This window comes from Homo sapiens, chromosome 14 (assembly GCF_000001405.40).
Source record: "Homo sapiens chromosome 14, GRCh38.p14 Primary Assembly".
Classification (NCBI taxonomy): Eukaryota; Metazoa; Chordata; class Mammalia; order Primates; family Hominidae; genus Homo; species Homo sapiens.
In genome coordinates this window covers 105,789,532-105,815,514 of record NC_000014.9, presented here as the reverse complement: position 1 = coordinate 105,815,514, position 25,983 = coordinate 105,789,532, and the positions used below count along the sequence as shown (strand labels likewise).

At 41.4% G+C, this 25,983-nt stretch overlaps 1 gene, besides 1 other annotated feature; it reads left to right on the top strand.

The window, feature by feature from the left end:
* Window positions 1-25,983, top strand: part of IGH (immunoglobulin heavy locus) — a 1,293,408-nt gene that overhangs the window by 1,064,330 nt on the left and 203,095 nt on the right.
* Window positions 14,030-14,230: a silencer, noted in NCBI's record as "peak2261 fragment used in MPRA reporter construct". NCBI's record gives its function as "represses an SCP1 promoter by STARR-seq MPRAs in K562 erythroleukemia cells {active_cell/tissue: K562}" and the evidence as "EXISTENCE:reporter gene assay evidence [ECO:0000049][PMID:32103011]".

The following is a 25,983-nucleotide window of genomic DNA, read 5'->3' as shown; positions in this document are numbered from 1 at the left end:
TCCTTAGAAAAGCTCAACCTCTACCACTGGGTTAAGTTGATCTCAGATTTTGAATTCCACCAGGAACCAGCCAGAAGCATATGAAAACCGTCTCTGGAAAATTATAACGTCATTTTAGGTTCAGTTGCTCAACCCAATACTTCTGAATACAGTATCCAGCACACAATCACAAAGAACCACACATACAAGTAGACGAAGCAACATGAGTAAGAACAGCAAAAACGGAAGATCAACAGGGACTCCAGACCTCAGCTATGGGAATTAGCACATGAAGACTTTCTTAATACTTTTTATTTCAATAGCTTTTGGGATACAAGTAGTTTTTGGTTACACGGATGAATTCTATAGTGGTTAATTCTGAGATTTTAGGGCACCCATCATCCAAGTAGTGTACACTGTACCCAATATGTAGTTTTTTATCCCTCACCTCCCCCACCCACTTGTAATCCCAGTGCTTTGAGATGCCAGGAGGTTTGGGACCAGCCTGGGCAACATGGCAAGACCCTATCTCTACAAAAAATGTTTAATAATTACCTGGGCATAGTGGTACTTGTCTGTAGCCCCCACTATCTGAGAGGTTAGGTGGGATAATCACTTGAGCCAGAAGTTTGGGGCTACAGGGAGCTGTGATTGAATCACTGCACTCCAGCTTGGGTGACAGAGTGAGGCCCCATCTCTGAAAAAAAATAAAAATAAGTAAAATTTTAAAACTGATAAAATAACAGTGCTACTAGGTTTGAAGAGTTTAAACACAATCTGAAAATTTCATCATAAATTGAAAACTATAAAACACACATAGCAGATCTTTTTTAATTCAGAATTTTAGAACAGAAGTATACAATGAAGAGCTCAAATGATGGGTTTAAGAGCAGACTTAACACAGCTGAAGAAAGAATTAGTGAATCAGAAGTTGGATCAGAAGAAAATATCTAGAATGAAGGATAGACAAAAACACAGCATGGAACTGGAGGGTTAAAAGAAGAGAGTATCCACCGATAAGGTCTAACATATAGGTAGTTAGAGTCCCAGAAGGAGAAGTGAGAAGGAAGAGAAGAAACATTTTTAAAGAGGCAATTGCAGAAATCTTCCCAAACTTAAGGAAATATCCTACCCCATCATTCATATGGAATAAAATACGTAGAAAATCTCATCTATGCCAGGCGTGGTGGCTCATGCCTGCAATCTCAGCAACTTTGGGAGGCTGAGGCAGGCAGATCACTTGAGGCCAGGAGCTTCAGACCAACCTGGCCAACATGGTGAAACCCTGTCTCTAGTAAAAATACAAAAATTAGCTGGGTGTGGTAGTACTCATCTGTAATTCCAGCTGCTTGGGAAGCTGAGGCAGGAGAATCTCTTGAACCCGGGAGGTGGAGGTTGCAGTGAGCCAAGATTGCACCACTGCACTCCAGCCTGGGTGACAGAGCAAGACTCTGAAGAAAATAAAATAAAATAAAACCACATCTATCCATAACATTATAAAACTCCTGAAGACTAAAAAAAAAAAGAGGCTATCTTAAGAGTAGCCAAGGTCGGGGAAGCTCACAATACCTTTAAAGGAGGACCAGTGAGGCTGGCAGCTAATGTCGTAACAGAAACAAGAACAGAATGAGATGCTGTCTTAGGCTGGCAGCTAATGTCGTAACAGAAACAAGAACAGAATGAGATGCTGTCTTTACAGTGCTAAAAGAAATACCTGCTAAGCCAGGGAAACTATCTTTGGAAAATAAAGATGACTTTTCTTTTTCTCTTCTTTTCAATTTTCATTCCCTAGGGCTATCCTAACAAGGACCGTAAAGAACAGAAGTGTATTCTTGCACAGCTCTGGAAGCTGGAAGTCTAAACTCAAGGTGTCAGGAGGGCTGGGCTCTCTCTAAAGCCTCTAGGGTAGGATGCTTCTTGCCCCTTCTAGCTTCTTTTTTTTTTTTTATTTCTAAAACGACTTTATTGCTAAGAACCATGATTATTACTTAAAATAGATTTTTCAGTTACTGATATAAAATATGTTCCTTTTGAGAACAAATGGACACATAGAGGGGAATGACACACACTGGGGCCTATTGGAGGGTGGAGGCCGGGAGGAGGGAGAGGGTCAGGAAAAATAACTAAGGGGCACTAGGCTTAATACCTGGGTGATGAAATCATCTGTACGACAGATCCCCATGGCACACGTTTACCTGCGTAACAAACCTGCACGTGTACCCCTGAACTCAAAATAAAAGGTTTTTTAAAAAATGTTCTTTGTGCTTCTAAAAATGTCTAAATAATCCTATATGCATTTTTCTTATTTGCCTCTTATGCGTAGCTTACAGATTTAAAAGTACAATGTTGCTTGTTTTGTATTCATCTTGGTGGATCTAATAATTTACAAATAGGACATAGGCATGCTGATACAGTCAGCAGTTAATTCCTCCTTCTGACAGTGGGGTTTGGACATACAACCAGCAATGCGTGCAGGTGGAGAGACATAGAGGATCTTTTTTTTTTTTTTTTTTTGAGATGGAATTTTGCTCTTGTTGCCTAGGCTGGAGTGCAATGGTTCGATCTCGGTTCACTGCAACCTCCGTCTCCTGGGTTCAAGCAATTCTCCTGCCTCAGCCTCCTGAGTAGCTGGGATTACAGGCATGCGCCACCACGCCCAGCTAATTTTGTATTTTTAGTAGAGATGGGGTTTCACCATGATGGTCAGGCTGGTCTCCAACTCCCAATCTCAGGTGATCCACCCGCCTCGGCCTCCCAAAGTGCTGGGATTACAGGCGTGAGCCACCACGCCCTGTACGAAGTTTTAGGTCATCTGTGATTCACAAACGACCGGCTTCGAGAAGCTCTGGAACGTGCCAAACAAGGCACTGTGGAGTAGTTTGGCTCCATGTGACCTAAGAGAGGAAAATCTGTTGTCTTTGGGAACATTACACAATTCAGGTAAGATATGTGCATATTCTCAAGGGAAATTTAAGGTGCTCATACTCAATAAATAAACACAAGAGCAGCGTTACAGATAATATTCAAAGAGACAGAGGCTTCTTCATACCTGATGTGGTGGGAAGACCACTGGATGACTGGACACTGAGATACGTGGTTGACAGTCTCGTCTCTGAAACACATGATTTGAGTTTTGAGCTTAGACAAACTTGTTTTTCTCCAGCATCAGTTTTTTCATCAGTAAACAATAATAATAATACTGTGTTTATGCCAACATCATTAGGAAGATCACTTTAAATGGTGTATATAAAAGGATCCATCAACTTTAAAGCCAGTACCCAATATACACTCATAGATATCAGCGTATTACAGAAAAATAGTATTTATTTTGTGGTCAAGCATATCTGGATTCTAATCCCAATTCTACTAATTGCTCCCTTATCTTTTGTGTCCCGTGATCATCAATGTTTTTATCATTAGAATCTTGATAATATCTAGCTCACCATGTTTTTCTGGAAATTATATGAGATAACATATGCAAAGGACTTAGTGCAGCACCAGATGTGACTCTTCCAGCTCCTGTGGTTGCCGACTGCCCTGGGTGTTCCCGGGCCTGCAGACGCATCGCTCCAGCCTCTGCCTCTGTCTTCATGCAGTGTTCTCCCTGTATCTGTGTCTAAATGTTTCTCTTCTTATAATGGCACTGGCCATAGTGGATCTAGGACCCACTCTACTGTAGAGTGGCCTCATGTTATCGTGATTATATCTGCCAAGTCCCTCTTTCCAAATAAGGCCACATTCTCAAGTTCTTGGTGGACATAAATTTGGGGGTGACTCTATTCAACCCAGTATACTTTCTCTTCCTGAGAAGAGCAGTTTGGACTCAAAGCTGTTCGGTGGGCAGATCAAGGGTTGGGGGGTGTCTGCATGGTGGGGGTAGGAGGAGAGATGCAGGGGCCCAGAGCGGGAAGCCAGTGTGGAGTCCAGGCTCGGAGCACCCACATGAGCAGAGGTGGGCAGCCTGATATAGAAAGTCAGATCTTAAGTGGGGTGAGAAGGGTTCCAGATGGGGAGGAGTGCACACTAGAATGGAGGGGGAGCCAGAATGGCAGAGGGGAAGGGAGTACTGGCAGAGAGGGCAGGTTGGTCACACAAGGGGATTGGTCAAGTAAGTAAATACACCGAAAAGAATAGAAAAGAGAGAAGGCAGTTCCAAATACCAAAAGGGAGTGATATGGTTTGGATCTGTGTCCCCACCCAAATCTCATGTCGAATTGGGTTTCAATCTGTGTCCCCACCCAAATCTCATGTCGAATTGGGTTTGGATCTGTGTCCCCACCCAAATCTCATGTCGAATTGTAATCCCCGGTGTTGGAGGTGGGGCCTGGTGGGAGGTGGTTGGATCACGGGGGTGGGTTCTCATGAATGGTTTAGCACCATCCCCCTAGTGCTGTTTTCCTTATAGAGTCCTCCCGAGATCTGGCTGTTTAAAAGCACGTGGCACCTCCCTGGTCTCCTTTTCTCCTGCTCTGGGAATGTAAGACATGCCTGCTTCCCTTCACCTTCACCTTCCACCATGATTTTAAGTTCCTGAGGCCTCCCCAGAAGCCAAGCAGAAGCCACTATGCTTCCCGGACAGCCTGCAGAACCGTGAGTCAATTAAACCTCTTTTCCTTATAAATTACCCAGCCTCAGGTATTTCTTTATAGCAGTTCAAGAACAGACTACAGGGAGAAACTGGAATGAATCCTATGGTACTGGATTGGAATTTGATCCGTAAGTTTGAATTCATGGTTTCTAACATAAATAGCCATTATATAGGAGTTGTCCTGATTTGTAGAAAACACACTAAAATATTCATGAAGGAGGAGGTGTCAGGTCAAAAAAATACTCTCTTGAATGATTCAGATAAAAATTGTTTGTACTTTTCTTGCAACTTCCAATTTTTGGCTGAAGCTAAAGAAATATTTTCAGACAAAACAGAATATTTGTTGCCAGAAGACACACATTAAAGGAACTGCTTAAAGATAGGTTTAAGAAAGAAGGAAAATGATCCCAGAGGAAGCCTCAGAGATGAAAAAAAGAATTTAAGAGTGTAAAGTACACAGGTGAGTACATTTTAAGAGTTATTAACTAATAACAATGATGATGTGATGGATAGTGAGGATAGAAAATTAAAACAATTCAGATGCATAGCAATAACATATAAGTAATGAAGGGCTAATAACACTGCATCATCATATCTGAAAAGAAGATCAAAGAATTAGTGACAAATTTCTTGATAAATTTAACTAATAGAAAAAAATGCAACTGTAAGAAAGTCCATCCAAAGGGAAGCAAGGAAAAAGGGATAAAAGAAGACCAACAAGGACAGCATTATCTCACTTATTTGTGGAATCTTAAAAGAGTTGAGCTCATAAAAGTAGATATTAGAATGGTGGTTACCAGAGGCTAGAGGCAGAGAGGGAGAGAATGGAGCGTGGTTGGTCAAAGGGTACAAAGTCTCAGGTAGACAGGAGGAATAAGTTCTGAGATCTATTGCATGACAGAGTGACTATATTCAGTAATAATGTATATTTTGAGATAACTAAGAGAGTAAATTGAAAGGGTCTCTCCACAAAAAAATAAGTAAATGAGGTAACAGATATATTAATTAGCTTGATTCAATCATTCCACGTTGTTTACATGTATGAAAATATTGTGGCTGGGCACAGTGGCTCACACCTGTAATCCCAGCACTTTGGGAGGCCAAGGCGGGTGGATCACTTGATGTCAGGAATTTGAGACCAGCCTGGCCAACATGGTGAAACCTAGTCTCCACTAAAAATACAAAAATCAGCTGGGCGTGGTGGCACATGCCTGTAATCCTAGCTACTTGGGAGGCTGAGGCATGAGAATCACTTGAACCCAGGAGACAGAGGTTGTAGTGAGCTGAGATCATGCCACTGCACTCCAGCTTGGGTGACAGAGCCAGACTCTGTCTCGAAGAAACAAACAAACAAACAAAAAACATTGCATTGAACTCCATAAATGTATCTAATTATGATTTGTCAATTAGAAATTATATTAATTTTAAAACCACATTGCTAGATAGGAGATTTAGGCTCAAATATATCAGTATTTACATTAAATGTAAATGGGCTGGGAGTAATGTCACTGAAAATGGCAGCTCCAAAAATGTGTCCCTTCACGAAAGCAACAATTAAGCTGGCAAAAAACTGACAGAATTCATTTTTTCATAACTCTAGAATATAACCAAAAACTTAAAACAAAGGGTGCTTAATGAAGAAAGAAACTGCTAAATTTGGGTAAGAGAGAATTGTGGAATTTTCTTACCTGCCTATAAAGCCCTCATTTTCCAGCTCAGAAGTAGCCAGGGCAACAGCAGCCCATCTTCCCGGTGTGGTTTGCTGGTGCCAGAGGGAGTAAAAAAGCCGTTGTCATCAAAGAATTGTGCTTGCGAATCTCAACCTATCTGACAGCTCTCTGAGGGATCAGCTCAGGATCTTGCCTTTGTTTTGCTCACCCTGCTCCTGCCCTTCCTCCCCTGTGTCCTACCCCCAACAAACACACACAGAATTCTCTACAGGATGGAACAGCCTCCTGGGCAGCATACATGGAAAGTATTTAAAGGTATATACTTGTCACAACCATCTAGGTCAACAGATAATAGAAAGGGAAAACAGTAGACAGGCTAAAACGCCTAGGAAGAAAAAGGCTAAGGAAGGAAACGTGGGGAAATTAGAACTTTAAAAAACTCCCACATATACTAAGGAATTCAAACAGCCACATGTATTTCTAGATGTATGCTCAGATAAGACCTGAGAAGACCCTAAGCTTTTACCTCTGGCTGGTCATTAGGCTTCACATGAGCAGGAAGTAAAGGCTAAGGCAGAGTTGTAAATGACCTGGTTAAGTGTTGCAGCAGTGCTCTAACCCAGAGCCAGCCTGCAAAGAACAGGAGGGTCTTCTTCCTCTTTCTTTCTTTCTTTCTTCTTTTGGCTTAAGAAATTTAAGAAGATCTGTGAAAACACTAGCTGACCACTAAACTAACATAACAAAGATTTCAGTGGCCACATATGACAAAAGTCTTCACAAAAGTAGTTTAGACAAGTCACTAAACAACTATAACACAAAACAAGCAGCAATAACAAACCCTAGGGAGAAGAAAGAATCTAGTTTCCCATATTATAATATTTATTCAAATTTTCCAGTTTTTAACAAAGAAGTATGAGACATGCAGAAAAACAAGAAATATGACCCTTTCACAGGAAAAGGTAAATTAACGGAAACTTCCCCTGAGGAAGCCCAGGCTGTGAACTTACTAGAAAAAGGCCTTAAATCAACTGTCTTAAATATTCTCAAAGAGCTAAAGGAAACCAGGAGAACAATGCCTCAGAACTAGTGATTATCAGTAAAGAGATAGAAATTATAAAATAGCGCCAAATAGAATTCTTGAAATGCAAAGTACTGTAACTAAAGTGAAAAACTCACTACAGGTTCAAGAGGAAACTTGAGCAGGTAGAAGAATCAGTGAACTTGAAGGTAGGCCAATTAAAATTCTCCCAACTAAAGAGCAGAAAAAAGATAAGGAAAATGAGCTTAATTTGAACAATATGATCAATAAATTTGATCTACTAGGCATATACAGACCTTAGAAAGAGCAGCTACAGAATGCACCTTCATTTTGAGCCAGGTGGAATATTCACACATTATACCATTTATGACCACAAAGGAAGATTTAACACATTTTGAAAGGCTAAAAGTATTTAGTTATGATGTGATCACAGTGCTAAGTCAGAAATAAATAACAAAGAGGTAAGTTAAAATACACATATGCTTGGAAAATAAGATAAAAACTGCTAAATAACCCTGAAGCTAAAGAAGAAATCATAATGGAAACATTAAAATTTTAAAAAGTTTAAAATATTTTTAACTGAATAATAAGGGAAATACTACATATCAAAACATGGTGAGATGCAGCCTAAACAGTGCTTAGAGGAAAACTTATAGCCTTAGAAGCATGTATTATGAAAGATAAAATCCTGAAAGTTGATGAACTAAAAATTCACCTGAAGAAGTTAAAAAAGAATGTAAAACCAACTGAAAATAGAAGGAAAGAGATCATTAAAATAATATAAGAAAATGATTGAACTGAGGATAATAAAGCAAAGAAATGATCAACCAAGTGAATTAACAAAATTGATAAATCTCTGATAACACTTGTTGGGGAAGAAAAGAGAAAATGCAAATAACTAATGTCAGAAATAAAAAGGGACGACACACACATCCTGCGGATGTTTAAAATGTAAAAAAGAATATTTGGGAAAGCTTTAAGCTACTAAGTGTGAACAATTGGATGAAATCTAACTGGATAAATGTAAGTATTAAAAAAGTTTAATCTACAATTTATAACCTTACCCCAGAGAAAACTGTGAACCAGACATGATTTCATAGGGGATTTCTGATCAATATTTAGGGAAATATCAACACTCTTAGACAAACTCTTCCAGGGATCTGAAGAAGAGTCCATGCCCTGTAAGCTACTGTATGAAGCCAGTGTAATCTGAGTTCCGTTGGGACTGCAACCGATAAAGTAATTCATCACAGAAATGACCTCAGGAAACTGGCCTTCAGAACGGGCTTCTGGGAAGTTGTCTCACATATTTGAGGACCACAGGCATAATTCATTGCCCGCAGGAAATGGGGCAGCCATACATGACATGTGGTGGCACCATGATGTCTCAGACTGTCACTGACAGGAGTGCATCCAAAGTACAAGGAGAGAAAAAGGCATGGGCAGGTCAAGATGCAGTAGCACTTTGTTGTCATGGCAACAAGAGGGCTGCTAAAGATTATGGAGTCACCAACTTTTTCTCATGACCATAGAGAGTGTACACAGGGGAAAAGAAACAGTGAAAGCTATGAACATAGCAAAAAGAACATATACAGAGAGCCATGGACGCTTGAAGGAGTCCCTTACCTCCTGGTCATGGGTCAGATAGAGCTGATACCCAACCAATTCACTACAGATGAAAGTCTTAGAAATTGTGGGGCTACAACATGCAAAGTTTTATCATCATCCCACATAACACTAAACAGGAGGCTCTAACTGCATTCTTGTTGGACATGTATCCAATTTCAGAATAGTGTTCCAAGAATCTGCCTCCTAGGACCACTTTTGTTGGTGTCAGGGATCCCCAGAAGCTGATCTTGAGAGAATATTTTAAGTGGACAGTTTGTTTGAGAGGTGATGCCAGGAAACACTGGTGGAAGAGTTGGGGATGAAAGGAAGCCAATAAAAAGTGCACTAATAAGCATGTTACCATGGAAATAACTGTAACTGAAATTCACCAGGGCCCTCAGGAAGCCAGTGTCAAACAAACACCTTCTCAGTACGTCCCCCCAACACACACCAGCAGCAAGGGAGTTTGGGGTATTTATATGCTAACTTATTAGTCATTGGTTGATGGCAGTTTGTGCAGAGCAAAATCCTGTGCAACTTCAGGCCTGTTGTGCACAGAAACCCTGACTACCAGAGAAAACCCTCAGGCAAGAAGATGCAGATGCTAGCAGTTTGAGGTTACACCAGTATACACTAAAGTGTAAAGGCCCAAGGCACCTGGAGTGCACCAAAAACTATTGCCACAGGTGTACAAATGTTCAAATTAACAAGAAAATGCCATGTCATCCTCCAAAGTCATGGCACCAATTCACATTCCCATCAGCAAATCTGAGACCTTATCCAATACCAATATCCTGACCTGAAACTAGATCATCATTTATTTGCATCTGTGTTTCCTTCTTTTATGTATCCTTTTGTCTCTTGATCAGAGTTAGCCACACTCTTTATTTTGTATGCATCATTCCCTCCCTTTCCATAAAAAAAATTTATCAAATATGGCCGGGCGCAGTGGCTCCCATCTGTAATCCCAGCACGTTGGGAGGCCGAGGCAGGCAGATCACCAGAGGTCAGGAGTTCAAGACCAGCCTGGCCAACATGGAGAAACCCCGTCTCTACTAAAAATACAAAAATTAGCTGGGTGTCATGGCACACACCTGTAGTCCCAGCTACTCAGGAGGCTGATGCAGGACAATCTCTTGAACCTTGGATGTGGAGGTTGCAGTAAGCCAAGATGGCACCACTGCACTCCAGCCTGGATGACAGAGGCAGACTGTCTCAAAAAAAAAAAATTATCAAATATGTATGTATATCTGAACTTGTCTGATTCTGTTTGCCCTTGAGCTATGTAAAATTATATCATACTATATGCAGTTGTCTGCATTGGCATTTTTTACCAATTTTTTTACATCTTGTTTCCAAGATTCATCTATGTTGTTGTGGGGAGTTGTAATTTATTCACTTTTACTGCTGTATAGGTTTCCAGAATTTATTTTCCTTGGATAATTGTTTCAAAATTTTTCTATTATTAGCTGCCTTACTATTGCATTCTTGTTCCTGTCTGTTGAGATCCTGTTATAGGCTGAATATGTCCTCACCTCTCCCCAAATTCATATATGGAAGCCCTAATCCTCAATGTGATGGATTTGGAGATGGGGCCTTTGGGAAGTGATTAGTTTTTGATGAAGTCAGGAGGGTGGGCCCCCACGGTGGTGGTGGTCATGAGGGTGGTCCTCATAGGAAGAGGAAGAAACGGAAGAGCCTCACTCTCTCTGCCATGTGAATGCACCATGAGAAGGTGGCCATCTTCAAGCCAGGAAGACAGCCCTCATCAGAACCCAGCCACGCTGGCACCCAGATTCTGGACTTCCAACCTCCAGAACAAAGAAAACTAAATTTTTGTTGTTTAAGCCACCCAGTCTATGGTATTTTTGTCAGGACAGCCCACACTAAGATGGATACTAGTGGGAGAGTTTCTCTATGAAATATGCACAGGAGTGGAAGTACTGAGGTATAGAATATTATCCCTATTTAGTTTTCTGGAAAGTGTTTTATCAAGCATGTTACCATGACAATTAACTAGAGTCTAACACCTCTGGGGAATTTTGATTATCGTTGTAGAATATATGCCTTAGAATTATCACCAGGGACAAGTGACCTCAGGCATTTACACACACAAGCTCCCATCAGCCATGGGTTAAGAGCTGCTCCAATGAGTACTAATTCCTGGCACTTCTGTTCTGTATTCATTTAGGCTCTGGAAGCCACAGGAAGCAATCAGACAAAAAGTTTCAGGTGTCGTGGCTGGGCATAGTGGCTTATGCTTGTAATACCAGCACTTTGGGAGGCTGAAGCAGGAGGATCACTTCAGCCCAGGAGTTCAGAACCAGCCTGGGCAATATAGTGAGACCACATTTCTACAAAAAATTTAAAAATTAGCTGAGTGTGGTGATGCATGCCTATAGTCCCTGTTACTCAGTAGGCTAAGGCAGAAGGATCGCCTGAGCCCAGGAAGTTGAGGTTGCAGTGAGCCGTGGTCTCACCACTGTGTGCATTCCAGCCTAGGTGACAGAGCAAGACTCTCTCTCTCTCTCTCTCTCTCTCTCTCTCTCTCTCTCTCTCTCTCTCTCTCTATATATATATATATATATATATATATATATATATATATATATATATATGGCTGGGTGCAGTGGCTCATGCCTAATAATCCCAGCACTTTGGGAGGCCAAGGCGGGCAGATCCCTGAGGTCAGGAGTTCAAGACCAGCCTGGCCAACGTGGTGAAACCCCACCTCTACTAAAAATACAAAAATTAGCCAAGCATGGTGGTGCATGCCTGTAGTCCCAGCTATTTGGGAGGCTGGAGTAGGGGAATCATTGAACCCAGAAGGCGGAGGTTGCAGTGAGCCAAGGTCATGCCACCACACTCCAGCTTGGGCAACAGAGCGAGACTCTGTAAAAAAAAAAAAAAAAAAGAAAAGAAAAGAAAAGAAAAAAGAAAAAAAAAGGAACACAGAAGGCACAAACAGCATCCACTACAGTCACCCCTCGCATGTCTAAGGTGCACTTGCACCCCACAGTGATGTCACCACTTCCTATTATTTCCTCTGAAAATGAACCCATTTTGAGATGGGCTTGGGCCAGAATTACCCTTACCCACTGATCCCTGTAAACACTCACTCTAACAGGTGAGGAGTGAAGAGAATAGGGAGGCTTCTATGGTATTCTGGTCCCTCAATTCATTATCTGGGTTCATGGAACAACTACAGATTCTGCTGTTGCAACTGATCCCGAGGCCTTCATTGGCCTTTGTCATCTCCCTTTTGGAGATAGGTTTCTAAGGGTTTCCCTTGACCATGGCAAGAACTTCTGCTGGGCTATGCTCTATGCCTGGTGGGATGATCCAAACCTCCATTTTCTGCAGAATTACAGACCCCAACAAAAATGTCCTTATTCCAGGTCTTGAGGTCCCACTCCTTCATTATTGGGGTGCTTTCCTTAGTGGAAGAGAACTTTGAGCTCCTGGATTCAGCCTTCTTTGTAATCCCACTACTCTTACAATCAGGTTCTGGGCCCAATTTTCAGTAGTTTCTTCTCCAGCTGCAGGAGATGGAGTTTTTTCTAATGCTGTGATGAAGGTTTTCTGAAATTTGCACCATTTCCTGAGTTGAAAGGGGTTCAACTGAGCCTGTTGTTATATTTCTTCAGTGATTCAATTTCACTAAACAACAACCAAACTATTCCACCATTCTTATGATCCTGTCTTTCTCAAAGGCCAGAGAAATTACATAAGGAGCACATCCCCCAACACTGTAACACTTTCTATCTATGTCCCATTATCATAATGCCAGGAGAAGTTATTTACAAAGGGTTATTTACAAAAGTGCAAGTGAGATGTAAGAGAACCACTAGGGATAGTGCAGTAAGCCAGGTTAGGTAACAGGAGGGCTGTTGCTGCCCACAAAACCAAATCTCAAGGTGTTTTAGACAAGACACAAACTGTAAAAGACTTATTGGTAAATTTAACTATACAAAAATTAAAAAGTCATGTCCATCAAAAGATAAAGAAAGTGAAAGACAAGTCACAACCCGGGAAAATACATATGCAACACCTAAACTTAACAAAGGAATATTATCAAAAATGTGTAAACTCCTACAAATAAAGAAGAAAAGGATAAATATCCCAATAGAAAATAAAGGCCAACAGCTTAGGCAACATGGCAAAACCCCATCTCTACAAAAAATACAAAAATTAGCTGGGCATGGTGGCACACACCTATAGTCCTAGCTACTTGGGAAGCTGAGGTGGGAGGATCGCTTGACCCCAGGAGGTCGAGGCTGCAGTCAGCCATGATTGTGCCACTGCACTCCAGCCTGGGAGACAGAGTCAGACCCTGTCTCAATCAATCAACCAATCAATCAAGTAAAATAAAGACCAAAAGACACGAACAGGTATTTCAGAGAATAAAAAAAATACATAAGGCCAATAAACAGTTTAGAAGGTGTCAGCTTCACTAGCAATCAGAAAAAAAGTCAAATCAAGAGAAGAATATTCAAGAAATCATGTTAGCAAAATGATGTTGGCAAAAATTAAGAAGTTGAACCATAATCATTAAGACATAGATTCACAGCCTCCAAGTACGAATGATCCTCCGACCTCAGCCCCCCAAGTAACTGGGACTACAGGTGCATGCCAACATGCCCAGCTAATTTTTTTTCTTTTTTGTTTTTTTCATTTATTTGTAGAGACTGGGTTTTGCCATGTTGCCCAGGCTAGTCTCGAACTCCTGTGCTCAAGCAATCCGCCCATCTTGGCCTCCCAAAGTGCTGGGATTACAGGCGTAAGCCACCCCACCGGGCCCAGAATGCTTTCTTAATCTAAAAACTCCCCTAAGTAGCCAGGCGCAGTGGCTCACGCCTGTAATCCCAGCACTTTGGGAGGCCAAGGCGGGTGGATCACGAGGTCAAGAGATGGAGACCATCCTGGCAAACATGGCGAAACCCCGTCTCTACTAAAAATACAAAAATTAGCTGGGCATGGTGGCGCGTGCCTGTATTCCCAGCTACTCAGGAGACTGAGGCAGGAGAACTGCTTGAACCCAGGAAGCAGAGGTTGCAGTGAGCCGAGATCACACCACTGCACTCCAGCCTGGGCGACAGAGCGAGACTCCGTCTCAAAACAAAAACAAAAACCAAACTCCCCTAAGTAGGGCTATTTTCCTGTCCCTGATGCCACCTTGACAACATAAGTCAACCACTGTTCCACATTTGTCTTTTAGGAACGCCCCAGGACTGTCGGCTGCTGTCCATGGTGCTGCCTTGGTCAGACACGTGGTGTCCAAGCTGCTGTCCGTGGTTCTGCTTTCATTTTTCTGTGTAGCATAATGATTTTTTTGTTTATTTCTTTGTTTAATTAATTGATTTTCTCTTTTTAGAACAGCGCTAGGTTTGCAAACAAATTGAACAAAAAGTCCATAGACTTTTTACATACCCAGCGCCTCTCTATACATATACAGTGTCACCTACTGTCATTGTGCATCTGTATGGCACATTTGTTACAAATGATGAGTCGATATTGATACATTATCATTAACTGAAATCCGTAGTTTACCTTAGGGTTCACTACTTGTGTTGTATAGTTCATGAGTTTTGACAAATGTGCAATGTCACGTATCCACCATGGCAGTGTTATGCAGAATAGTATCCCCTATATTTCACTATTCATTCCTCACCCCTCACCCCAAACCCTGGCAACTGCTGATCTTTCTACTCTCTCTGTAGTTTTGCCTTTCCAAATATATAGTTTGGAAACGTACATTATTTAGCCTTCTCCAACTGGCTGCTTTCACTTAGCAATATGTATTTAAGATTCCTCCATGCGTTCTGTGGTTTAATAGTTTTTTGTTTTTGTTTTTTGTTTTTGATAGGGTCTTCCTCTGTCACCCAGGCTGGAGTGCAGTGGTGCAATCATATTTCACTATAGCTTCAGCCTCCCAGGCTCAAGCGATCCTCTTGCCTTAGCCTCCAACACAGCTGGGATTACAGGCACCACCATCATGCTCATTTTTTAATTTTTCATAGAGATGGTATCTGGCTATATTGCCCAGGCTGATCTAGAACTCTTGGGCTCAAGTGATCCTCCTGTCTCAACCTCCCAAAGTGCTGGGATCACAGTGTGAGCCACCATGCCTGCCCTTGATAGCTCACTTTTTATTGCTGAATAATATTCCACTGTCCGGATGTACCACGGTTAACTGAACCATTCACCTGTGAATGGTATCTTAGTTACTTCCAAGTTTGGCAATTGCGAGGAAAGCTGCTATAAAAGCTCACGTGCAGATTTTTGTGTGGACATAAGTTTTCAACTCATTTGAATAAATACCTAGGAGTGTGATTGTATGGTAAGATAAGATTTAGCTTTTAAAACTGTCAAACTGTCTTCCAAAGTGGCTGCACCATTTGTATTCCCACCAGCAATGAAAGAGAGTTCTTTATGCCTCACATCCTCCACAGCATTTGGCGTTGAGAGCTTTTTGTTTCATTTGTTTTCTTTGGGATTTTCTCCATTCTAGTAGCTGGTCGTGGTAGCTCATTGTTGTTTTCATTTGCCATCCCAATGGCACACCACGTGGAGCATATTTTCATGTGCTTATTTGCCATCCGCAAGCCTTCTTTGGTGAGGTGTCTGTTCAGATCTTTTGCCCATGTTTTAATTGGGTTGCTTGTTTTCTTATTGTTTAAATTTAATAATGGTTCTTTAAGTGTTTTAGATACAAGTCTTTTATCAGATATATATTTTCTCCTCCCAGTCTGTGGCCTGCCTTTTTCATTCTCTTGACAATGTCTTTCACATGTAGACATTTTTTCATTTTAATAAAGCTCAGTTAACTAATTTTTCTTTTTATACAAATTGTGATTTTTGTGTTATATCTAAAAACTCATTGCCAAGCCCAAGATCATCTGGATTTTCTCCTGTTATCTTCTAAAATTTCATAGTTTTAGGCTTTACATTTGGGCCTATGATCCACTTTGAGTTGATTTTTGTGAAAAGCATAAGGCCTGTGTCTAGATTCTTTTTTTTTTTTTTTTTTTTTTTTTTTTTGCTTTGGTGCCATGTAGTGAAAAGATGACGCTTTCTCCATTGAACTGCCTTTGCTCCTTTGTTGAAGATCAGTTGACTATGTTTATGGGCGTCTATTATCAGAAAGTTTTGTTCTATGGATTTATTTGTCTATCCTTTCACCAATTCCACACTCCTGATTATTGTGGCTTCACAGTAAGTCTTGCATAAAAGTTGGGAAGAGTCAGTCCTCTAACTTTGTTCTTCTTCAATATTGTGTTGTCTCTTCTGAGTACTTTCCCTTCCCATATAAACTGTAGAATCAGTTTGCCAACATCCATAAAATAATGTGGTGGGAATTTGATTAGGATTGTGTTAAATCTATATATAAAGTTGGGAAGAACTGACATCTTAAGAATATTGTTTTTCTTTTCATGAACGTGGAATATCTCTCGACTGATTTAGATCTTCTTTCATTTCTTTTATCACAGTTTTATAGTTTTCCTAGTATATATCTTGTATATGTTTTATTAGATTTATACCCAAGTATTTCAGTTTCTGGTGCTAATTTAAATGGTATTCGGTTTTCCACTTTAAATCCCAATTGTTCATTGCTGGTATATAGGGAAAAAATGGCTTTTGCCCATTAAACTTAACGTCCTTCAAATTTGCTTTTAGGCCATTCTTGCGTTGCTATAAAGAAATACTTGAGGTTGGGTAATTTTTTTTTTTTTTAAAAGAGGTTTAATTGGCTCACGGTTCTACAGGCTGTACAGAAAGCATGGCAGCCTCTGCTTCTGGGGAGGCCTCAGGAAGCTTCCAATCATGGCAAACAGCAAAGGGAGAGAAGCCATATCACATGGCCGAAGCAGAAGCAAGAAAGAGACTCTGTGGAGGGGGAGGTGGCACACACTTCTAACGACTAGATCTCGTCTGAACTCTGAGCGAGAGCTCACTCATCACCAAAGGGCTGGCACAAACCATTCATGAGGATCTGCCCCCATGATTTAAACACCTCCCAGCAGGCCCCACCTCCAGCATTGGGGATTACATTTCAACATGAGATTTGGGTAGGAACAAATACCCAAACTATATCATTGCTATAATCACTTATTAGTTCCAGGAGGTTTTTTGTCGATTATTTGGGATTTTCTGCAGAGATATCATGTCATCTGATGACAAACGCAGCTTCATTTCTTCTCCTCCAATCTGTATATCTTATACTTGCTTTTCATGTTTTAATGCATTAGCTAAGACTTCCAGCATGGTGTTAATTGGGACTGGTAAGGGGACCTACTCACCTGTTGCTTCTCACCACGAAGTACAATGTTAGCAGTAGGTTTTTTGTAGATGTCCTTTATAAATTTGAGAGTATTCCCCTTTATTCAAAGTTTGCTGAGAGTTTTTATGATAAATTGAGTTGTATTTTGTCAGACACTTTTTTGTTATCTATTGATATGACCACATGAGTTTTCTTAATCTTTTGAAGAGATGGATTATATTAATTGACTTTTAGGTGGAAAGCTTATATTAATTGATTTTGAATGTCCAATCAGCCTTGTTTCTATTACTGAGAGTTCTCCAGATTAACAGAACCAATAGAATAGGGTGTGTGTGTGTGTGTGTGTGTGTGTGAGAGAGAGAGAGAGAGAGAGACAGAGACAGAGAGAGAGAGAGAATTTTAAGGAATTGGCTCACATGGGTGTGGAGGCCTGCAGGTCCAAAATCATCAAATCGGTAGTGTGGAACCTGACCTAGGGAAGAGATGATGTTCCAGCTTGAGTCCAAAGATCTTCTGGAGGCAAAATTCCATCTTCCTCAGGGGACCTCAATCTGTCTTTTTTAATAGTCTTCAACTGATTGGATGAGGCCCACCCACATTTTGGAGGATGATCTGCTTTACTTAAAGTCTAACAACTTAAATGTTAATCCTGTCTAAAAAAATACCTTCACAACATCCAGACTGATGTTTGACCAAATATTGGGTTCCAAGACCTAGCCAAGTTGACAAGTAAAATCAGCCATCATATTTGCATACCTGGGATAAATCTCAATGGGTATATTATTTTTTATACATGGTTGGATTTCATTTGCTAGTATTTCATTAACATTAGATTTTACACTGTCGATATTGAAGGTAAGCAATCTTTGAAAAAGACTACTAGAACTCACCCATAGCTGTTTTTCTCCTTCCTTTGACTCCTGCTAGACTGTGTTTCCCAGTGCCATCACATGTGGATGGAGACCTGTTACCAGTTCTGTTCAATGAGTAATGTGAATAAGTCAGACAGTACTTTGAAGAGTTGTGATGCTGTAACAAAAAATAATATTATGTGGCTCATGCCTGTAATCCCAGCACTTCGGGAAGCTGAGGCAAGAGGATGATTTGAACTGAGTAATTCAAGATCAGCCTGGGCAACATAGCAATACTCCATCTCTAGAAAAAAAATTAAAAATTAGCCAAGCATGGAGGCACATGCCTGTAGTCCCAGCCACCAGGGAGGCTGAGGTGGAAGGATCACCTGAGCCTGCAGAAGCAGAGGGTGCAGTGAGCTGAGATCATACCACTGCACCCCAGCATAGGTGACAAAGTGAGACTCTATCTCAAAAAAATAAAATAAAAAACTTGCCTTAGAATATGAGAAGCAGTTAGCAAGGAAGCTGGTGTCAGGCTGGAGGACTGCAGATCCTTGTCATGCCTTAATAAATCAGTTGTTAACATTTGGAAGGCAGAGTCCCTGCCTATTCAGCCTGCAGCTCTAGGGTAAGAGATTGCAAAATCAAGTATTAAGAGTTTGTTGGCTACTATTAGCTCCCTTCATTAATTAACTAGAGAAAAGAGGTTAGGTCAGAGAATTGGTGGCTTTGTAAGCAAAAATTTTAAAAGAATAGAGAAAATCCAAAACTTACAAGGAGGGAGTGGAAAAGCTGGCTTCTTCTAGAACCCAAACAAGACAGGACACCAAGAAAGGTTTTAGATGATGAGGATGGCCAAGGTGTGATTTGCAGTGTGGCCTTCCCATCCATGGCCTCTTTCACAGATAATCTAATTTTTAATTTATTATTTTTGTGGATACATAATAATTATATATTAATGTATTTATGGGGTACACATGATATTTTGATACATGCCTAGAATGTGTAATGATCAAATCGGGGTAGTTAAAATATCTATCACCTCAAAATTTATCATTTCTTTGTGTTGGAAACATTTCAAATCTTCTCTTCTAGCTATTTTGAAATATACAATAAATTATTGTTAACTATAGTCACCACACTGTGCTGTTAAACACTAGAACTTATTCCTTCTAACCAACTGTTTTGTGTGTGTGTGTGTGTGTTTTTTTTTTTTTTGAGACAGAGTCTTGCTCTATCATCCAGGCTGAAGTGCAATGGTGCAATCTCGACTCACTGCAGCCTCCGTCTCCCGGGTTCAAGCGATTCTCCTGCCTCAGCCTCCCAAGTAGGTGGGATTACAGGCACATGCCATATGCCCTGCTATTTTTTGTACTTTTACTAGAAACAGGGTTTCACCATGTTGTCCAGATTGGTCTCGAACTCCTGACCTCAGGTGATCCACCCACTTCAGCCTCAAAGTGCTGGGATTACAGGCGTGAGCCACAACACCCAACCTACCCAATTGTATTTTTGTATCCATTATACCAACCTCTCTTATCTCCTCCCCACAGCAGTGATCCTTCCCAGCCTCTGGTAACCACCATTCTCCTCTCTACCTCTATGAGATCCACATTTTTAGCTCCCACATATGAAAGAGGACACATGATATTTGACTTTCTGTGCCTGGCTTATTTCTCTTTAACATAATGACCTCCCTTTCCATCCATGTTGCTGGAAATTATAGGATTTCATTCTTTTTTATGGCTGAATAGTATTCCATTATGTATATATACCACATTTTCTTTATCCATTTATCCATTGATGGACACTTAGGTTGATACCCTATCTTAGCTATTGTGAACAGTGCTGCAATAAATATGGGAGTGTAGATATATCTCCAAAATATTGATTTCCTTTCTTTTGGATATATATGCATCAGTGAAATTGCTGAATTATATGGTAGTTCTATTTTTAATTTTTTGAAGAACTTCTACACTGTTTTCAATAATGGCTGTACTAATTTACATTCCAACTAGCAGTGAATGAGCATTCTCCTTTCTCCACATCCTCATCAGCATCTGTTCCTTTTTGTCTTTGGTAATAACTATTCTAAATGGGGTAAGATAATATCTCATTGTGATTTCGATTTGCATTTCCTAGATCATTAGTAATGTTGAGCATTTTTTCATGTACATGTTGGTCACACTTGCATGTCTTCTTTTGAGATATGCATATTCATGTCTTTTGTCCATTTTAATGGGATTTTTCTTGTTGTGGAGTTGAATTCCTTGTATATTCTGAATATTAGTCCCTTGTTGGATGAATTTTATCCCATCAAAAAGTTGACTCTTCACTCTGTTGACTGTTTCCTTGCTGTGCAGAAGCTTTTTAGTTTAATATAGTCCCATTTGTCTATTTCTGTTTCTGTTGCCAGTCATTTTGAGGTGTTAGCCATAAAATATTTGCTTATGACAATGTCCTGTAGTGTTTTCCCTATGTTTTCTTCTAGTAGTTTTATAATTTTTAGTCTTATGTTTAAGTCTTTAATACATTTTAGTTGTTTTTTTAATTCAGTGAGAGATTGGGACCTAGTTTTATTCTTCTGCATATGAATATCCAGTTTTCCTAGCATCATTTATTGAAGAGGCTGTCCTTTCCCAGCACTTTCATTGAAAATCAGTAGGCTATAAATATGTGGTTGTTTTGTTTCTAGGTTCTCAATTCTGTTCCATTGGTCTGTGTCTATTTTTATACCAATGTCATGCTGTTTTGTTTCCTATATCCTCATGATATATTTTGAAGTCAGGTAGTATGATGCTTCCAGCTTTATTCTTTTTCCTAAGGGTTGCTTTGGCTATACAAGCTCTTTTTTGGTTTCATAATAATTTTGGGATTGTTTTTCCATTTCTTTGAAAAAATGACATTGATATTTTAATAGCGATTACATTGAATCTGTAGATTGCTTTGGATAGTATGGTCATTTTAACAATATTAATTCTCCCAATTCATGAGCATGGAAGGTCTTTCCATTTGTTTGTGTCCTCTTCAATTTCTTTCATCAGTGCCTTGTAGTTTTCCTTGCAGAAGTCTTTCACCTCCTTGGTGAAATTTATTTATATGGATTTTTGTAGCTATTGTACATGGGATTGCCTTCTTGGTTTCTTTTTCAGCTAGTTCATTATCAGGGTATAGAAATACTACTGACTTTCATATATTGATTTGTATCTTGCAACTTTACTAAATTTATTTATCAGACCTAAGAGTTTTTGGTGGAGTCTTTGGGTTTTTTCCTTTCAGCCAGTATATATCTTTTAAGTGGAAAATTCTATCTGTTTACATTCAAGGTTATTATTGATACGTGGGGACTTATTTCTGCCATTTTGTTGGTTGTTTTCTTGTTGTTTTGTCTATCCTGTGTTCCTTTCTTTCTCTCTTATTGTTTATCATTGTGGCTTGGTGGTTCCTGTAGTGGTAACATTTGTGTCTTTTCTCTTCCTCTTTTTTTGTATTTGCCGTGCGGCTGTAAGTTTTATACATTTATGTGTTTTCACGATGGTAGAGATCATCCTTTTGCTTCCAAGTATAGAACTCCCTTAAGCATTTCTTGTAAGGCCAATATAGTGGTGATGAATTTCCCCAGGCTCCAGTGGCTCACATAGGTGCTGGCTGTGGTGGGCAGGATGGGATGATCCTTTGCCCCACCCAGTAACAGTAGCAGTGTGACGGGAGAGCCTGTCCTCAGGGCATGTGAAGTGCACAGTGGCCCTGCTATGGGGTCACTGCCCGTGGCATGTACTTCAGCCCTGGAAGCAGCAGCAGCTTCATCATAGCTTATTTAATTCAGCGGACCAAGAGCATAAACACCTGAGCTTCCTCTTTTTATCTGCTCATTCTGCTTCCCAAGTTCTCAAGGACTTATGTGGACAGTCTTCCCGCACTTGCCAAAAACTCAGTTCATTCTGTTATAAATCTCAGTGCCTCTACCTGCTACAGACACGGAGCTCACCCCGTCAGTGGCACCCCTTCTGACCCAGAAGTGTCCCTAGGTGTCTTCGTGGCCTCTGCCATGGGTGCTGGTATGCCATTGTGGGAGGTGGGGGGCAGTGGGAGTCAGGAGGTTGCTCCTCTGGGTGGAGCTGCCTGCCAATCAAGATCCTGACTCTACCTCCACCCCATGTGACCAGGCTGCAGGGGCAGGCCTTAGTGGGCACCGGTGGTGCTCTGGTCACAAGACACCCTGGAGGTGAAGGGGGCCTTCCAATTCTAAAGCTGTAGCTGCAGACTTGGGCAGTGCAAATCCTGTCAGGACCAAACACCAAATTCTATCACCCACTCAAGCTTGAAGTTAAGTGGGAGGGAGAGAGTCCCTGCAGGACCCTTGCTATAGTTGGATGTTTGTCCCCCAAGACTTCATGTTGAAATTCGACCCCCAGTGTTGGAGGTGGAGCCTGGTAGAAGGTGTTTGGATTTTGGGTGCAGATCCCAAAATGCTCTCCTTTGAGGGTGAGTTCTCACTCTTATTCCTGCTAGAGCTGGCTGGTGAAAGGAGCCTGGCATCTCCCCTCTTTCTTGCTTCCTCTCTCCCCATGTGATCTCTGCACATACCATGGTTCTTGTACAGCCTGCAGAACCATGAGCCAAATAAACCTCTTTTCTTTATAAATTACCCAGCTTCAGGAATTCCCTTATAGCAACTTAATGGACAAAGACAACACCTGACAGCCACTCTCCCACATGCCTCCAGCAATGCTCTGTGGGTTTGCACCTCCAACTAAGTCATTTAGGCAGGATTTAATGGAAGGACACCTTGCTGACACAGATCTGGGCTCAGTGCAAGAGCCCCTGGGACACTGAGGACTCCAGAGCTGGCTCCGGCAGAGTGAAGAGTAGCAGAATATGCCACTTTCAAACAAGAATAATTTTGAGCCGAAGACAATTAAAAAGAAGCATACCCAAGAAAAAAATCCCTGCCCACTCCCTTTCTACCAGGAAAAGCAGAGGATTCTTAGTCCTTGGAGACAACTCTAGATGCTTATCAGCCCAGAGAAGGCACTAGAGGAATCTACACAACAAACTAGCAAGCTATCTTCTGTTAGCTTCCCCTATATATTTACTTCCCAGAATTTGCTGCCCTACAGGTTGAAAGCCCCTTTCCTTTGTCTTGCCAATTCTGTAAAAATGATTGCCCATTTGCTAAGATGCTCCGTAAGCTCACGTTCCAACCGCCCCTTTGAATTCCTCATCTCTGACGGCTCCCACATAGAGGCATAATGCACATGTTAGTAAACTTTTGTTTGTTTTTCTCATGTTAGTATCTTGTTAATCTAATTGACAAGACCCCAGCTAATGAACCTAAGATGGGTAGAAGGGGGAAAAATGTTTCTTCCCCTACAAGAGCAAGCACCTCCCCACACACTGGAGGAGGAGAGAGAGCCGCTCCGAGATCTGCAGGAACAGAGGCTCCTTGGGCTGTCTGTTGAGGAAGGCAATAAGGTCCAGGCAACCCTGCAAGGAGAGAGCCAGGGTCACCACTTAGCATCAGCATCCCCTTCCTCTGATCTCCTGCAGGCAGCCAGCCCACCCAAAGAGCTGACCCATCCAGCACCCAAGGAGTGAGGCAGGCCAGAGTCCACTCCAAGGGCAGAGGCTGTGGGGCAGGTGGGGAGCCAGCCTGGAGGATGTTAGCAGAGCCAGGTGGGTCATGGCACCCACAGCCTCGGGGATCCAGCTTGAGAGAGACCCTGAGGGCCAGGCTGATAACAGATGAGTTGTGATGACAGGGCTCATTGTCAGACACTGTAGGCTGTCAGGCTGTCAACCTGAGCAGACTACCAAGTCTTCCCATCCGCAAAACAGCTCACCCCAGCTATCAGGGGTGGGCACCCAGAGGAGAGACCATTCTCATCTCCACCTGAACTCTTTTGGTGCTCCCAGAACATTCTGATGCTGAAGAGGAGTGTAGAATCAGATAGAAACAATTCCTCTTGTAGCTTCCATGATGGTTGGATGGTAAAGTACAACTGGCTTTGTTAGTTCATTTTGCATTGCTGTAGAGGAATACCTGAGGCTCAGTAACTTATAAAGAAAAGAGGTTTATTTGGCTCAGGGTTTTGCAGGCCATAAAAGAACCCTGGTGCCAGCATCTGCTTCTGGTGAGGGCATCAAGGAGCTTACAACCATGGCAGAAGTTGAAGGGGGAGAGAGCATGTAACATGGTGAGAGAGAGAGCAAGAGAGGGAAAGAGGAGGTGCCAAGCTCTTTTAAACAACCAGCTCTTGTGTGAACCAGTAGAGCAAAACTCACTCATCACCAAGAGGATGGCAGCAAGGCCATTCATAGGGATCCATGGCATGACCCAAACATTTCCACTAGGCCCCACCTCCAACATTGGGGATCACATTTCAACAGGAGATTTGGAGGGGACAAATATCCAAACCATGTCACTCCACACTGTCCCCCCAAATCTCATGTCCCTCTCACATTGCAAAATATAATCATCCCTTCCCAATAGTGCCCAAAAAATCTCAACTTGTTCTAGGATCTACTCAATCAAAACTCCGAAGTTTCATCTGAGACTCAAGGCATGCCCCTTCCACCTATGAGGCTGTAAGATCCAAAACAAGTTGCTACTTCCAAGATACAGTGATGGTACAGGCATTGGGTAAACATTTCCCTTCCTTCCAAAAGGAATAAATTGGCCAAAAGAAGGAGGGGGAAGAAGCAACAGGCCCCACACAATTCTGAGAGAAAGACATTAAACTTTAAAGCTCCAAAATAATCCTTGACTCCATGTCCTGCATCCAGGGCACACTGGTGTGAGGAGCGGGTTCCCAAGGCCTTGGGCTGGTCTGCCCCCATGGCTTTGCAGAGTGCAGCCCACATGGCTGCTCTCATGGGTTGTAGTTGAGTGCCTGAATCTTTTCCAGGCTCTGGGCGCAAGCTGCTGGTGGCTCTACCATTCTTGGGTATGGAGGGCAGCAGCCCCATTCCCAGAGCTCCACTAGGCAGTACCCCACTGGGGACTCTGTGAAGGGGCTCCAACCCTACATTTTCCCTCCACACTGCCCTACTGGAGGCTCTGTGGGAGAACTCCACCCCTGCGGCAGGTTTCTGTCTGGGCTCCCAGGCTTTCTTTTTTGTCTCTCTCTTTTTTTATTTTTATTTCAATAGTTTTAGGTTTTTGGTTACATAGATAAGTTCTTTCATGGTAATTTCTGAGATCTTGGCACACTTGTCACCCAAGCAGTGTACGCTGTACCCAATATGTAATCTTTTATCCCTCACCTCCATCCCCCACTTGCCCTCAAGTATCCAGAGTCCATTATATCATTCTTATGCCTTTGCATCCTTATAGTTTAGCTCCCACTTATAAGTGAGAACATATGATGTTTGTTTTTCCATTCCTGAGTTATTTCACTTAGAATAATGGCCTCCAACTCCATCCAGTTTGCTGCAAATGCCACTATTTTATTCCTTTTTATGGCTGAGTAGTATCCCATGGTGTATATATACCACATTTTTTATCCACTCATTGGTCAATGGGCATTTAGGCTGGCTCCATATTTTTGCAATTACAAGGAGTTGCAATTGCACTGCTCTAAATATGTGTGTGCAAGTGTCTTTTTCATATAATGACTTATTTTTTTCTGGATATCGAATAGTGGGACTGCTGGATCAAATGGTGATTCTACTTTTAGTTATTTAAGGAATCTCCATACTGTTTTCCAAAGTGGTTGTACTAGTTTACATTCCCAACCAGGAGTGTAAAACTGTTCCCTTTTCACCATATCCATGACAACATCTGTTAGTTTTTAATTTTTAATTATGGTCATTCTTACAGAAGTGAGGTGGTATCTCATTGCAGTTTTAATTTGCATTTCCCCAAAAATTAGTGATATTGAGCATTTCTTTATATGTTTGTTGGCCATTTGTATATCTTCTTTTGAGAATTGTCTATTCATGTCGTTCGCCCACTTTTTGAT